The following is a 16,041-nucleotide window of genomic DNA, read 5'->3' as shown; positions in this document are numbered from 1 at the left end:
TGTCGTTGGCTCTCCCTCAGGATAATTTACTGATAAAATCTTGTAAACAACTCTTTACATTCCTTTAAAGAGACTTGTCCTTATTCTGTTTAATATTCCCCTCAGATAGCCCCAGTGTTCTGATGGAGTAATGTCTATGCATCTGATACAGTGGCAAAAAGTGCCATAAATAACAGATATGTGTAATGGCCTGGTTAGCATCCAATGTTGGCTCCTCTGTCTTTCCTAATCACAGATCGTGGGGCAGATTCATAGCAGAAGTAGTCACTTTTCAATCACGTATAACACTCTGCTTAAAGATTGCTGATGTTTGAAGTTGAGTTGGTGTCTTAGTGTATTGGAGCCACTGTAACAAACTGCCATAGACTGGATAACTTAAATAACAAACAATGAATTCTCATAATTCTGGAGTCTAGGAAGTCCAAAATTAGGTACCAGCAGGTTCGGTGTCTGTTGAGAGCCCCTTTCCTGGTTCATAAATATCCATCCTCTCTTCTGGGTCCTCATGTGGCATAAGGGGTGAGGGAGCTCTCTGGTGGTCTCTTTTATAAGAGTACCAATCCCATTTATGAGGGCTGCACTCTCATGACCTGACCACCTTCCAAAGGCCCCAACTCCTAATACCATCACTTGGGGGTTAAGGTTTCAGCATATAAATGGTGGCAGGGACACACACATTCAGTCCACCACATTCTGCCACTGGCCTTCCAAAATTTATGTCATTCTCACATGCAAAATACATTCATTCCATCCCAACAGCCCTAAAAGTCTTAAGTTGTTTTAGCATCAGCTCCAAAGTCTTAAGTCCAAAGTGTCATTTAAATGTCGTCTAAATCTGATATGGATGAACCTCAAGGTACAGTTTATGCTGAGGCAAATTCCTCTCTAGCTCTGAACCTATAAAAGCAAATAAGTTATGTGCTTCAAAAATACAGTGGTGGGACAAGTAATGGATAGACATACTCATTCCAAAGGGAAGAAATAGGAAAGAAGAAAGGAGTAATGCATCTAAAATAAGTTGAAAACCTAACCGAACAAACAATATTAAACCTTAGGACTCAAGAATAATTCCCTTTGGCTTCGTACTCTGCTTTTCAGGTCCACTGGGGTGGGAACATCATCTCTCAGCTAGGTGGAACGTACCTCAGTGGCTGTTTGCCAGAGCCCCACCCCAGAGGCACTGAGGTCCTTTTTTGGCACTTGGGGCACACCAGACCTAAAGAGGCATCTAAGAGGAGGCATGTCCCTCTGGACATCTGCTCTAGGCCTGGTAAAGGGCGTCTACAGAAAAACCTATAGCTAACATATTTAGTGGTGAAAGGCTGAATTGTTTTTATTTAATACCAGGAACAAGACAAGGTTGCCCACTCTTACCACTTCTGTTACTCAGCACTGTCCTTAAGATTATAGCCAGTGCACTAAGGGAAGAAAAGAGTAGATAGAAAAAAGTAACTATTTGCAGAATAGTATGATCATTTATGTAGAAAATTCAGTATGATATACAAAAAAGCTACTAAAACTAATAAGTGAGTTTAGAAAGATTGCAAGATCAGTGTACAAAAATAAATTGTATTTTTGAACACTAACAATGAAAAATAAAGTTTTAAAAAAGTTTATAAGAACATCAAAAATACGAAGTTCTCAGGAATAAATCTGACAAAAAATGTGAAAGAGCTATACAATACATTGCTGAGAGAAATTAAATAATACATACACAATAGGAGAGGTACACCCTTTTTGCCTTGGTCAGAAAACTCAAGATATTCTCTCCAAGTTTGAAAAATATTATCAACATTATTAGTCATTCATTAGGGAAATGCAAAATTAAACCACAATGAGATACTGTTGGTTTGGCTAAAATTGAAAAGTCTGACCATACCAAATATTGACAAGGATATGAAAGAACAAGAGCTCTTTTACACTGCTGGCAGGAATGTAAAATGGGATATTTCCAAACTTTGGGAAACAGCTTGGCAATTTCTTAAAATGTTAAATATGTATGTACCATATTCAGTCATTTTGCTCTTAGATAAATGAAAACATGTTCTTACCAACACTACGCAGATGTTCATAGCAGCTTTATTTTTAATAGCTAAGGCTGAACATAATTCAAATGCTTATCAACAGGTAAATGGGTAAACTGCAGTATTCATATAACGAGCTATACTACTAAATAAAAAGGAATGAACTGTTGGTACATGCTACATCACAGATGAATCTCAGAATCATTCTGAGTAAAAGAAGCTAGGAAAACAGTATACAGCTTGAATAATTCTATTTATATAATTCTAGAAAACGCCAACTATCTAGTGACAGAAAGCAAATTAGTGGGTACTTGGGGATGGTAGTGCTGGTGGTAGGGAGGGGTGGAAGGAAAGGATCAAAACAGAATCATTTGGAAGTGATAGATATGCTCCTTATCTTGGTTGTGGCAGTGGTTTCAGGAGTGTTTATGTATATCAGAACTTATCCAGTGGAATACTTTATGTGCAATTTCTTATGTGTCAGCTGTACTACAATAAAAATAAATGAAAACTGTCTTTACTGTCTGATCACTGCAGCTAACAAATCTAGGACTACTTGCTAAATTTACCCAATCTTAAGACCCACCAAGGACTTTTGTTTAAAGGGATGTGATCCAGGCCTGTCATGGTGGCTCATGCCTATAATTCCAGCACTTTGGGAGGCCACGGCTGGTGGATCACTTGAAACCAGGAGTTCGAGACCAGCCTGGCCAACATGGTAAAACCCCATTTCTGCTAAAAATGCAAATAAATAATTAATTAAATAAAATAATGTGATCCAGGCTTCAGAATTATTAAGATAGGACAGAGGAACTGGACTTTTTAGCAAGCACCCCAGATAATTCTTCTCCTTCTTATAAAACACTTAACCCAGGTTCATTTAATTGCACTTTGGTAATCTGCAGCCATGTCTTTATGTGAGAAAGGGATATTAGGTTTCTAATATGAACAGAAAGGCCTAGCCATGGACCACCTGATGATGCTTCCACTGTGGTCAGATAAGATAATTTACAATTGAATGGAATTATTTTCCTTTCAGTTTATAGTTTACTGAAGTGAGCCTTGCATTGTAAGTTCCTGAAGTAATCACTGGAAATGTCTTAATTCAGTAGCTCCATCTTTAGTTAATGCTGCACTAAAAGAAAAAAGGAATTTTACTTACATACTTTTTGACAAGTCACATTCATATATGTTTTAGTGGAAAAACTGTTTTACATCTTATATATAGAAGCTGTAAAATAACATGTTCTGGGGAGAGGAATAAGATGAATAGAATAACATTATAATTATCTAAATGTTCTTTAAATGGAGATAGCCACAATCTTTCGTAAAACTCTGGAAAGAACAGCATGACCTTCTTATTGCCCCCTTTCCACCGACGTCAAACAGAAGGAAATTATAGAATAAGTCTGTCTAAATTTTAAATGGTTCAGTTATCGGAAGACCTTAGAGAGCAAGTTTTCCACAAATCATCTCTGCGCCATTTTGTCTTGATTATTTTTTTAAGGGTTGGTTTGCCAACATGTAATTAATCACTTTTGTTAGTTTTTAAGGAAATGAAACTGCATTGTTCCCTTTGGCTTGACTGTTCTTTTTTATGGCGTCTTTTAGTGTTGTAGTTGTAATATGAAAACCTTAGGTAAATGTTGGGCAGTAATGTGAACAAAACAGTGGGAAGGGAGTAATTTTTAAAAGCTTATCTACATTGCTGCTGTAATACTTACATTCAACTCCAGATCTCAAATACCACCAACTTTAATATCAAAGTCCCTTAAAGTCAGAAGGTGTTATAATGTCAGTGGATGGGGTTATTCCCTGTGTACAAAGAGTCAGGATGCACTTGTCACCAATTCCCATGGTTTCTTCTTCCAAAATCTAGTTTGAATGGATCATTTCATCTCTGGAGGAAGGGATGGGAGCACCCTTCCGACCAGTTTCATTTCTTTGGGCTCTGTTCCATCTGTGCAGGGAACTACCTTCTCTATGGAAATTGGACACGATTTTAAAAATAAAGCATTGCATTTACTAATGACTGTCAGTATTAAGATTTCATGTAGATCTTGTTGCTTCTCAGAAAAAAGTTTCATATACAGTAAGGTTTTAAAGATAGGCAAATAACTAGTTGTGAGCAGGCACCATCCTTTAACTTTTATTAATTTGAAATCATTTTTCCATTTTTAAGCAGAATAGAATGTCCCAGTAGGTGTAAGGGAAATTTCAGTAGCCTCCAAGACTCTGTGGAGATTTTGAAACTATACACGCTTCTCCATCTGTCGCCTGCCCCCTCCTCCCAGAGCATAGACTTCAAGGCTGGACTTTGCTCCATGTTAATGATCACTGTTAATGAAAAAGATAATAGGTTCCAAAAGGCTGACCACCTGTTTTTGGTATTTAGGGTAATGCTGCTGTCAAAGTGAATGAGATATATTCCTTCCTCTGTGTTCTGAAAGTTTACGTAGGGTTGGGTGTGTAATGGGTTGAATTGTGTCCTGCGTCTCCACCAAAAAAAAAAAAAAAATGGTTGAAGCCCTAACCCCCAGTACCTCAGAATGTGACCTTATTTGGAAATAGGGTCATTGCAGATGTAACGTTAAGATGAGGTCATACTCAATGAGTATGAGCTCTAATCCACCCTAAGAAAAGAGACACACACATGAGGAGAAAATGTCACGTGAAGATAGAGGCAGGGACTGCAGGGCTGCAGCTGCAAACCAAGACACACCAGGGGCTTCCGGCAACCACAGGAAGCTGGGAATAGGCAAGGAAAGATTCCCCCTACAGGTTTCCGGGGAAGCACAGCCACGCTGACACATTGATTTGGACTTCTAGCTATCAGAGCAGTGGGACAATAAATTTCTGTTGTTTAAACTACTCGTTTGTGGTATGTTATTATGGTAGCCCTAGAAAACTAATACAGATTTATATTTTCTTTCAAGTTTGATAGAATTCACCAAACAGTGTTGAGTTTTCTTTGTGGAAAGGTTTTGAATTGTGAATTCAGTATCTTTAATAGATGTAGGGCTATATAGATGTTCTGTTTACTCCTGTGTCTGTTTTGGTAATTTGTATTTTAAGAAATTTGTTTATTTCATTTAAGTTGCTGAATTTATTGGCATAAAATTGGATTGTTCATAATATTTTTTGATGTCTTAAAGGATGGTGTTCCCTCCTTTATTTCTGATATTTTAAATTTTTTGTTGTTGTTCAGTCTAACACAGTGGTTCTTAACTGGGACAGTTTTGCTCTGGCTAAGGACATTTGTCTGTGCCAAGGGACATTTGGCTATGTCCGGAGGCATTTTGGGTTGTCACAGCTTGGAGGATGTGCTACTATCATCTAGTGGGTAGAGCCCAGGGAGAATGCTAAACATCCTACAATGCACAGGACAGCTTCTCACAGCAAAGAATCCTCCAGCCCACAATATCAGTAGTGCTGAGGTTAAAAAACCTACTCTAGGCTTTATAGTGTAAACCTTCTATTTTCCAAAAATATTATATCATTTCATGTTTAATATAGTGTTTCCATTCATCCCCTTCCAGTCTTCAAACTGGTTGTGGGCATACCTTTTACTTCTCTGTATATTATAAACCCCACGATATATTGTTAGCTGTTTTTGCTTTAAATAGTCTGTCAAGGAAATTTTAACATAAGAGAATATGTTCAGTTGTTACTAATATATTTTCAGCACTCTGTATTCTTTGTGTTGACTCAGATTTCCATGTGGTATATTTTCTTTCCACATGAAGAACTGCTTTCATACATCTTACAGGTCTGCTGGAAACATAGTCTCTCTGCTTTTATTTGTCTGAAAAACTCTGTATTTATCTTCATTGTTGAAGTATATTTTGGCTCTATATAGAACTTTCCATGACAGTTTTTAATTTTTTTTTCTTTCTTTGAGACAGAGTCTCGCTTTGTTGCCCAGGCTGGAGTGCAGTGGCGCGATCTCGGCTCACCGCAACCTCCGCCTCCCGGGTTTAAGCGATTCTCCTGCTTCAGCCTCCCGAGTAGCTGGGATTACAGGCATGCGCCACCATGCCCAGATAATTTTGTATTTTTAGTAGAGATGGGGTTTCTCTATGTTGGTCATGGCTGATCTTGAACTCCTGACCTCAGATAATCCTCCCAAAGTGCTGGGATTACAGGTGTGAGCCACCGTGCCTGGCCCTAAAATATTTTAAAATATGTCATTTCATTGTTTTCTTGTTTGCATAGATTCTGGGGGGAAATGTAGCTATTGTTCACTATTATAAGGCTTTTAAAAAAATCTGTGTATTTTACAAAGTATTTTGGGATTTTGTTGTTATTGAAAAATAATAACCTAAAATTTAATGCAACATGTTTAGATTTTACAAACAGACTTGTATTTGACTTGCGTTTGGTATTTCTCTTTTTTCCTTTTCTTTTTTTCACTTTTTTCTCTTTTACTCATTAAAATATGTATTTTGGGGCAAGCTATTTCTCTGAGCCTCAGTTTTCTCACCTGTAAAATTGAGCTACCAATGATTCTCACAGGTTTATTGAGGAAATTAAATGTATTGAAGGATGCAAAATGATTTGAATTTGTAGGTACTCATAAACCTGATACTACAGTACACAGGTATCCCCCTCCTCATCCAAGTTCAGTTGTTCTGACCTCAGGGTTCACACTTGGCGGCAGATCAGTGGATGTACCGGATCTGAGTCCTTCCCAGCCATGTGGCAGCAGCTCTGTGTAGAGACGTTGCCTGCCCCCCGCCCCCTGCACGCTCTCCAGGAGCCAAGTACAGCCAGGAATTGGCCAAAATGGAGAGCCCCGAACGGACCATGAATGGACACTGTTGCCACTGTTTACTATTCCTGTTCCTTTCTGTAGTTTACCTGCTGATTTTAAATAAACCTGATTGCTTACTCAAGCAAGGTTGGAAGTTTTTTTAATCCTTTAATTTAAAACTTTAAATACAGTAAAAATCCATGACTTCTTATATTTCCCCTCATTTGCGTATTTCACTTAGGATGCTCTTCCCTTTAATTAAACTAAAATTCTGTTCATTTTCCACTTCTCAATTATGCAGACTAGCTATAATATTTAAAGTTACAAATTCTCATATTAGAAGAATCTTGGACATAATTCATAATACGTAGCTTGTAATCAACAGTAAACTATTACTTCCAATGGATCTAATTACTTAGAATTTATAATACTAATATTGGATGCACTCTTTTTTATCTTAGCAAGGGAAACTAACTGTGTATGATAGACATTTTTTTGTAAATAACATTTCGCTTTTCCAAAGCATGAGTTGAGCTGTTATTTTTTGTCCTGTAGCTGGCTGTGGGCGCTAGCCCCCTGACTGTTGTTTTAAATGTCCCCTCATTGTGCTTCTGCTCCTTTACTAGTGGGCCTTTGGAGTGACGCTGTGGGAACTCATGACTCTGGGCCAGACTCCCTACGTGGACATTGACCCCTTCGAGATGGCCGCATACCTGAAAGATGGTTACCGAATAGCCCAGCCAATCAACTGTCCTGATGAATTGTGAGTTTTTTTGAGCTTGAAGGCATGAGTTTTATTCCATTTACTATATTGGAATAAAGGAAAAAGAGCAGGTTTCCATATTCACACAGAGCCTTCCCTTTTGAGAATAATGACTCTTTGGATTTAAATTAGACTCTTATAAAAAACCACAAAGTCAGGGAGATTCGTTCACTCTTTCATGCATTTGATATTAGAACGTCTTGCATTTTATTTTATAGTGCATAATCTAAGCACTATAAATTAGTCTGAGAGGACGTACTAAGAAAATTGAATGCTACGTCAGTTATTCTATATAAAGTGAGTATCTGACTTTTATAGTTATAAAGTAGTTATAAAGGACATAGTAGTTATAAAAAACCTCTCTCGTTGTCATTTTGCCTTGCCAGTTAGTATCAGCTAATACAGGGAAGATGATCTGGACTAGTAAGCCAAATAGTTGCTTTCTGTTTCCTGCTTCTATCACATAGCTTATCTTGCCATGTAATGAGAATGGGATAAACAGGAGGCTATGCAGGGTGATTGATCGTACAGATGAGTATATTCTCAGTTCCAGAACCTCCTGAAGGTTTCTGCACCATGACAAGGTGGCAGCTTTTGTACTGATTTTACTCTAGATCCAGGGTTCATAGAACTTAGATAAAACTTTCTCTTCCTCCAAGTTCTTTTCTTAATTTAACTACAGGAAAACACACATTCTTTTTTTACTGTGTTTTAGGTTTTTACATGAAATCTCTGTATTTGCTGAAATATTTTGATATGTTGTCATGAAGAATTGAAATTCACACATAATCCAAATAATTTCTTTTAGCTTCTTTCTAGAGCTGCCAACAGATAGTAAAATGGATCCGTTTTTAATATATCATCCTCTCCATACCCACCTTTAGACAGGCAACATAACTGGCATCAAACTGAGCAAAAGTTATGAATACTGTATCCTTACTAGCCCAAATTTTCATTTTTGTCACTCTGCAGATTTGCTGTGATGGCCTGTTGCTGGGCCTTAGATCCAGAGGAGAGGCCCAAGTTTCAGCAGCTGGTACAGTGCCTAACAGAGTTTCATGCAGCCCTGGGGGCCTACGTCTGACTCCTCTCCAATCCCACACCATCAGGAAGAAGGTGCCTGTCGGGGCTCACTTGAAGCCTGTCAGGGATGCTTTGTATCTAACACAACGCCAACAGAAGCACATTTGTCTTCCAGAACACCGTGCCTTAGAAATGCTTTAGAATCTGAACTTTTTAAGACAGACTTAATAATGTGGCATATTTTCTAGATATCACTTTTATTAGGTTGAACTGAAAGGGTTTTTGTAAATTTTTTGGCCAAAATTTTTTAAAACATACTTACTTTGGACTAGGGGTACATTCTTACAAAATAAATAAACAGTTTTTAAAATTGTTTAGACACAGATATTTGGAATTAGCTATCTTAGTGCCAACTGCTTTTTATTTTTTTACTTCATCAAGGTGATGTAAGTGACTCACCTTTAAAGTTTTTTTAGTGTTATTTTTTATCACTACTCTGGGAAATGGTTTGTCTTCAAGATGCAATACTTTTCTTAGTAAAGGAAAAACAGCATAAAAAGATACCTGGTCTGCCTTGTACAAGAAAAGGCAATATTAGAGGAAGAAAATTTAAAGAAAAGCTAGAGGAAAAAAAAATTTTTTTAAAAATACTTATTAGAAGCAAACTGCCCTTGCATGGAAAACTGTTTATTTTTTTCAGTGAAAAGGAATTCTGCTTTCGTGTTTTTGGGAAAGCAGGAACTGAGTTCATTACATCTTTAATTTGGCAGAAATTAGCCTTTCTGTGAACCAGATGTGGTTTGGGGCAGATCTGTAGTAAACAATGGTGATTTTATTTATTTTTACTCTCTGGAAAAGGAGATAATACAATTCCAGAAAGTGAACTCATATTTCTAAGGTTAAGATTCCCTTTTATTGCACCTAGAATAGTGCTATGCACAGAGCGGGTGCTTGAGTTGTTGTCGTTTTTTGTTTGTTTTTTAAATGTAAACTGGTAAATTTTGTGCTTATCTTCAAGGCTGGCTTAAGTATAAAATTGTTTTTTAAACACTTGAAAAATTAAAGGATTTGTTTTATATTATGACAGTATTGAAATTATTTTTCATAATGAATGATTGGTTATTGTGTCTGGTAAGTCTTTGAACATTCAACAGCCAGACATTTGTGTTTTATTTCATGATGTTCCAGTCAAGTTCCAAAGCCCTAACACAGTTAAGCTGGCTCAGACTCCAGGTTCTAGTAAAAAGTTGGAATTAATGTTATAAGGAAGTATTAAAACACTGAAACATTTCTCCAGAACCAGCAAGTAAGGGATATGTATGTATTTATGCTCAGTTTTAGTTGGCCTAAAGCAGAGTTGAATGGGCTTTCTAAATAGCTAGGCCTGCAGGTACCTGCCACTACTCCCATCTTCAGAGGTATATAAGGGAGAATGTGTAGCAGTTGGAGGCTTTTGCTGTTTTTAAAAAAGCCTTATGAATCAGCAGCACATCGGGAAAAATAGCTCACATAGTACCTGGTTTTCCACAAGTAAGCCAAGGGCATGATTTTCTGTGTACATTTATTAACAGTTCTTTGGTTTTATGAAATACTCATATGAAGCCAGTCCCTGGAGTACTGTTTTTTAAAAGGTCCCTTTGAACCATTTGTAAATTATATTTTCATTCATAACCTGCATTCTTAGAAGGCATTCAGTCAACATTTACAGCACTTACTGTGTATTTTCCACATGGAGTGGTTCAACTCAAGCGTCCCTTCCAGTATTCAGGGCATTCTTATTTCATGTTCAAGTGAGTGCATTGTTTAGAAATCACAGTTTATTAACATGTACATGATCTATTTTAAAAAAAAAATAAGTACTGACACCTGACTTCTACTCCCAATTAGCAGATTGTAAGAAATGTCCTCAGTTTGGTGGATGGTGTGGTGCCTGTAACCTTATCTTTTTGTGTTTGTGAGCACTTTTATTTTATGTATGTATTTTTATTGTAGTAGATTTTTCTTGGTGAGCTACTTGGAGTCTTTGACATGGGAAGGAAAGAGCAGTTATAAGATCTCCCTGACTCATGTTCTTCCAGTAGTTTTATTGTAGATTGTGAATGTTACTGAAGTTTTACATTTTACTGATTTTGCAGAAAATATAATTTTTATGGAAAAGAAGCAAATTGACAAAGCAGTGTTGTGGTATTATAAGCTGGCTCTGGTGACCTAGAGATGCATTCTATTCTGTTTTTTCTTGTAATCCTCCTGTTCTAGAAATTTTTTTTTTTTTTATTGATAGAGGGAGGATTGGGTTGCTCATTCAGTATATATTTATTGAGTGCCCACTGTATCCTGGCTCTCGGGATAATGCAGGGAACAAGATAGATGAGGTTCTTCCCTTTCTAGATTTTGCATTCTAGTTAAGAAAAACAGGTAATGAACATAAATAAGATTTTGGTAAGTGCTATGATAGAAATAATAGAGTGATATTAGAGAGTGTAACTTTAGATGTCATAATTAGCCAAGCTTCTCTAAGCAGGTGGCATTTGAATTGTGATCTGAATGGCAAGAAGCAGCCAGCCATGAGAACACAGAGGCAGAAGGCACATAATTGCAGAAGCCTTAAAGCAGAAGCAAGCTGGCCTCCAATCTCAGCCGTTCCCCTTCATTCTCTAGCTGCTGCTGCTGTTGGAAAAAGAGAAAGGTAGCTAGCGTGGCTAGAATGTAGTTAGGGAAGGGAGTGGTACAAAGAAGCAGGTCTTTGTAAGCTGTGGCATACATTTATATTTTTTGCTGAATACAATGGGAATTCATTTGAGGATTTTTCAAGTAAGTAGCGATATGATCTGATTTGTCATTTTGAAAAGGTTGTGCCATCTCCTCTGTGAAGACTGGATTGTGAGAATTCAAAGGAAGAAGTAATGAGACCCTTTAAGAAGCCGTTGCATAGTTCAGAAAAGAAAAGATAGTGGTTTGGACCACTTTGAGTAGTGAGGAGATACAGAGAGAAGGGGCAGATTGGAGATATGTTTTGAAGATACACCAGGACCTGGATCCATTGGATGTTGACGGTGGGGTGAAGAAGGAAGCGGGGAGGTGAGGAATGACTAATTGATTTGGGGCTTGAGCATCTGGTTTTATGGCCAAGCTATATACTGAGATGGGGAAAAATCTAGGAGAAACTGAATTTTGCATTGGCCAGAGAAATCCATAATTTGGTGTAGACTGTGTTTGAGATGCCAGTTGATCATCTGTATGGAGATTTTTGATAGATGAGAGTCTGCAGCTCAGGGAAGGTCTCATTGAACATACAAATGTAGGAGTATAGCATATAGACTATTTTTAAAGCCATGGTACTGGATGGAGTTGATAGGGAGAGAGTGTATAGATGGAGAGGAGGTCCTAGGACTGAGTCTTGAGCATTCTAACCTTCAGTTCCAGCTAGTGAAGAAAGAAGAGATAACAAAGACAGGAAAAGCCACTGTAATTGATAAAAGCAACAACAAAAAAGTGAAAATGAGGTGTTGCAGGAGCCCAAGAAAGGTCGTGTTTCAAAATGGAGACGCCTCCATCAGATTTGGCAATATGGAGTTAACTGGCAGGAGCATGGGGACTGGAGCAAGTCGAAGTGTGGACACAGGTGGGGACGTAAAGGCCTACCACTGTCAGCCCTGCTGTGAAGGGAAATGAAGCAATAACTAGAGGAGATCAAAGGGGGTTTTTCGGGAGAAGAGGGACAGGGATGAGAGTGTTTTCCAGATGAAGGTACAGTGCCAGAAAATGTTTCATGGGCTCATGGGAATGATCCGGTAGAGGGAGAAAAATCCCTCTGGGGTATGGGCCACTGCTCTTCCTTGCCATTTGGTCCACAACCATGAAAGCCTTTCACTCTGGCCCCGAGCCCTTTTGTTGTATAAGGGTTGTGTGTTTACTGGGGGAGAAATGTGAGGGAGGTAAGGTAAGGGAGGCGGTACACAAAACTGCCACCGTCCCATTACCCAACAGCCTGCCTCTGTTGAGGGGCTTTCCTGGGACTTCAGACTGGCACCCTCATTGTGCTTGCAGCTGTCATGTTTCCTTGCCCAGATTGCCCATAGCTGCTTCCCTGGCCTCGGCCTTGAACCCCTCTAGCCAGCAACTGCCCAGGTAACACTTTATAAAACTGAGCCGCTGTCCCTGCTTGGAGCCTTCAGAGTAGACTTCAGACCTAGGCAGAGTATCCACTCAGCTCTGCCGTTTCTCCTGCTCCCCACTTCGGGCCTGCACGCTTCCCGCCGCTCGGCATGCTCCTTCCCCTTCTCCGAGAATGACGTGCTCCCCGCACTCCCCACACTGCCGCCTTGGGACCAAGAAGGTGCCTCTCACACCTTACTGCTCTCCTCCAGGCTTCGTGGTTGCTTTTCAGCCTTTTTCCCTGGATTTGAACTTTAACAAAGGTAAGATGGAGGTTTATTTTTCACCACTTGGCTGTGAGTTCCTTGAGGATAGGAACTTGTGTTTTACTCAGATCTGAATCTCCATTGCTTTAGTGGTGTGCTCAATACATGGTAGGGGTGAATATTTAATGAATGAATGAGTGAAAATATCTAAATTTTGCACAGGAGAGCAATTAGAGAGGCTTAAACAGGAAGGAAGTCTTCTAATTCCTTAAAAGCATTATCTCATATTTGAAGAGTTCAAGTTTGATGCAACATAAACTGATAAAGTTTGAAATAAAAAGAGACAGGTTGGTAGGAAAGACCATTCATATCCTATCCCCAAACTGGCTTAAGTCCACTCCCACTGCCCCCAGCTACCACCTTTTTACTTTATTCTACCTGCTATTTCTTTGGCCACCGGAATAATAAGCCTGATGTAAATTCTGTTTCATACTCCCACAGGTCAACTTTTTTTGGAGTTTGACAATAATTATTCCAAGTCAAGTAATTCATTGATTTTAGTGGAAGATTGTTTTCCAGGTGTTATTCTTCCATGCGCCTCACCCCCATCTCATAAAGTAGAAAAGAGATGATTTAATTTATGGGTCTAGAAAATAAAAATGTAAATACTTGCTTGTTAAATTAATTTTTTTCTACCTTCATTTTTACCTTTAATATTTCAAGATAATATTGGACTTAATTCTCTGAGACACACAAACATCCTGCATAAGTATATTGACAACATACATTTTATATGTAAGTGAACCATATGGGTGAGCCTCTGCTTTCTCCCTGACAGCGCTGTTCTTTAAGAAATTAAGGCTAACCAGGTCTATAGGTTTTAATGGGAGATGTCTCCTAACTTTTCAAAGACCAGATGTTCTTGTTATACTGATAAAAACTTATTAAAAAAAAAAAGAAATAGGGATTGATGATGTTCAACATTATTCTCTTTGAACAAATACATCATTTGTTCATACTTGGTTTCTCAGTATTTCAACAATAAAGCATGTTTTAATGATTTGTCTTTAGAGGAGTGAGCACTCCTCTGGGGGTATATTACAACTGGGAAAAAAAATATAGTTTGAAAATAAAATAACTGTTTACCCTTAAAGAAATTAACTCTATGGTGCCTTAAGGTTACATTTGCAATAAACTTTTTTACATCTTTCTGAGTCTTTTTTTGCTTTTTGCCTTCTTGGCTCTGAGAATAAGCATAGGCTGATATTAGATAGGTTTGTATCATTAGGGATAGCATTTAGCTGCAAGTAATGGAAAAATTCAACCATAATCACTTAACCAAAGGCAGGTCATTTTTCTCCCATAACAGCTCCAGAGAGAGATAAACCAATGCTAATGCAGTGATCCCAGGGTGTCATCCATTGCCAGTCTCCTCCTGTTTTGCTGCTCTGCCGTCTTTAGCATGCTGTGGTTCTTAGGGACCCCAAGGGCCTAGAGCTTGTTCCAGATAGGAAGATGAGCAAGGGCAAAAAGCAAGAGGCATGAGTTACTGAGTCCTTTTTGTGAGGAAACTACTAACTTCCTGTAGTATGCTTCCACCAACAACTTAATATCCTGAACGCACATGAGCACTCCATGCGCTACAGGTGGGTAATGCCAGGAAATTAGATTTTGTTATTTTTTGAAAACAGCTTTATTGAGATATAATTCTAGTATCACCCATTTAAAGCGTGTAATTCTCAGTGATTTTTAGTGTAGTCACAGAGTTGTATAATCATCGCCACAATCTAATTCATTTTTATTACCCTAAAAAGAAACCCCATACCCATTAGCAGTCACTCCCAATTCCACCCTCACCCTCAGCTCTAGGCAACCACGAATCTACTTTTTGTCTGTATAGATTTGCCTGTTCTGGACCATTCATATAAACGGAATCACACAACATGTGGTCTTTTGTGTTTGGCTTCTTACATTTAACATAGGATTTTCAAAATTCCTTCATGTATCATGTATCAGTACTTCATTCTTTTTTATTACTGACAGATATTCCATTGTATGGATATAAACCATTCATCAGTTAATGCATATTGGAGGAAATTGAGTTTTGAGTTGATCACGTTCTTGTTGTATACAAAATTGGGCTTCTATTGGTAAGGAAGGCGATGGCTCTTGAGGAACGGCTAGCAGTGTCTGCCGCTTTGCAGAAATGTGCTGGTATTTGGCTTCCTTTAGCAATATATTTAATGCTTCAAAAGTTCTGTCAAAGTACAGTGATTGTGAAGAGTCTTAGTGACTGTAGGGAGTGTCCAGTCAGCTTGGTGTTTAAGTTGGTGAGTCCTGCCATTATTTGAGATGAAAGCCTGGTAGGAATTACTACCTCACCTTTAGCTTCTAAGTCTTTGACCAGAAAACTCTACTGCTGTATTCCATTGTGAATGCTGTTACTTTGGCCTCTGGCCCACTGTTTTCCACCTGTTCATAATTCTGCCACCACCTTATAGATTTGAGCTTGCAAAGTTATATTTTCTTCAATATTTGGCGTACAGTATCTACCACCAGGTACCTTTTTGCTAGCTTCATGATCTGACTATTTAGGGCCTTTAGACGTAAGCCAGAGACTGGCTGTGTGTGTCCATTGAAAGTCTTATTAAAAGAGCTTAAAAAATATTTAATGATCTATTACATAGATTTATTGTACTATATTTCATATGCCTTTATTTAGACAATACTTGCATTCCTACTAGGTTTTTTGACTTTTTAATTGATACTATTTGGTCATAGCATTACTTAATAGGCATCTGAAGAACACTTTAGACATTGCCTAATTTAGAGAACAGGATACCGTCCTGGAGACTCTATGACGAATTGGTTGTGGGCCCTCATTCTAGAAAAACACTGGAATTAATATCCTGAAAAAAGTTCCTCTAGCCCAATGTGGTTCAAGCCAGAATAGGTTTGACTTACCCATAATCTCTTTATCAGGAAGTGCAGTGCTTGATAAATCTGTGTTCAAGTTTTGTGTTGGGATCTCTAAGCAGTGTCCCTCTGGCCTTTGCTCTTCCCCCTGTCCCAGTCCTCAGAACGGCCCACAGATAACTAAGCTTAAAGGATAGGGGC

General features: G+C 38.3%; 1 protein-coding gene across 2 annotated transcripts in view; it reads left to right on the top strand.

Annotated features, from left to right (window-relative positions):
• The window catches only part of RYK (receptor like tyrosine kinase), a 93,727-nt gene extending 84,083 nt beyond the window's left edge, over window positions 1-9,644 (top strand). For both annotated transcript variants that reach the window (NM_002958.4, NM_001005861.3), the window contains exons 14-15: window positions 7,404-7,540; window positions 8,513-9,644. In NM_002958.4, the coding sequence (NP_002949.2) occupies window positions 7,404-7,540; window positions 8,513-8,624 (249 nt within the window). In that variant the 3' untranslated portion in view covers window positions 8,625-9,644. The remainder of the gene's footprint in view (window positions 1-7,403; window positions 7,541-8,512) is intronic.

Source organism: Homo sapiens, chromosome 3 (assembly GCF_000001405.40).
Source record: "Homo sapiens chromosome 3, GRCh38.p14 Primary Assembly".
In the NCBI taxonomy this organism is placed as follows: Eukaryota; Metazoa; Chordata; class Mammalia; order Primates; family Hominidae; genus Homo; species Homo sapiens.
The sequence above is the reverse complement of the archived record's forward strand: the minus strand, read 5'-3'. Positions and strand labels throughout refer to the sequence as shown.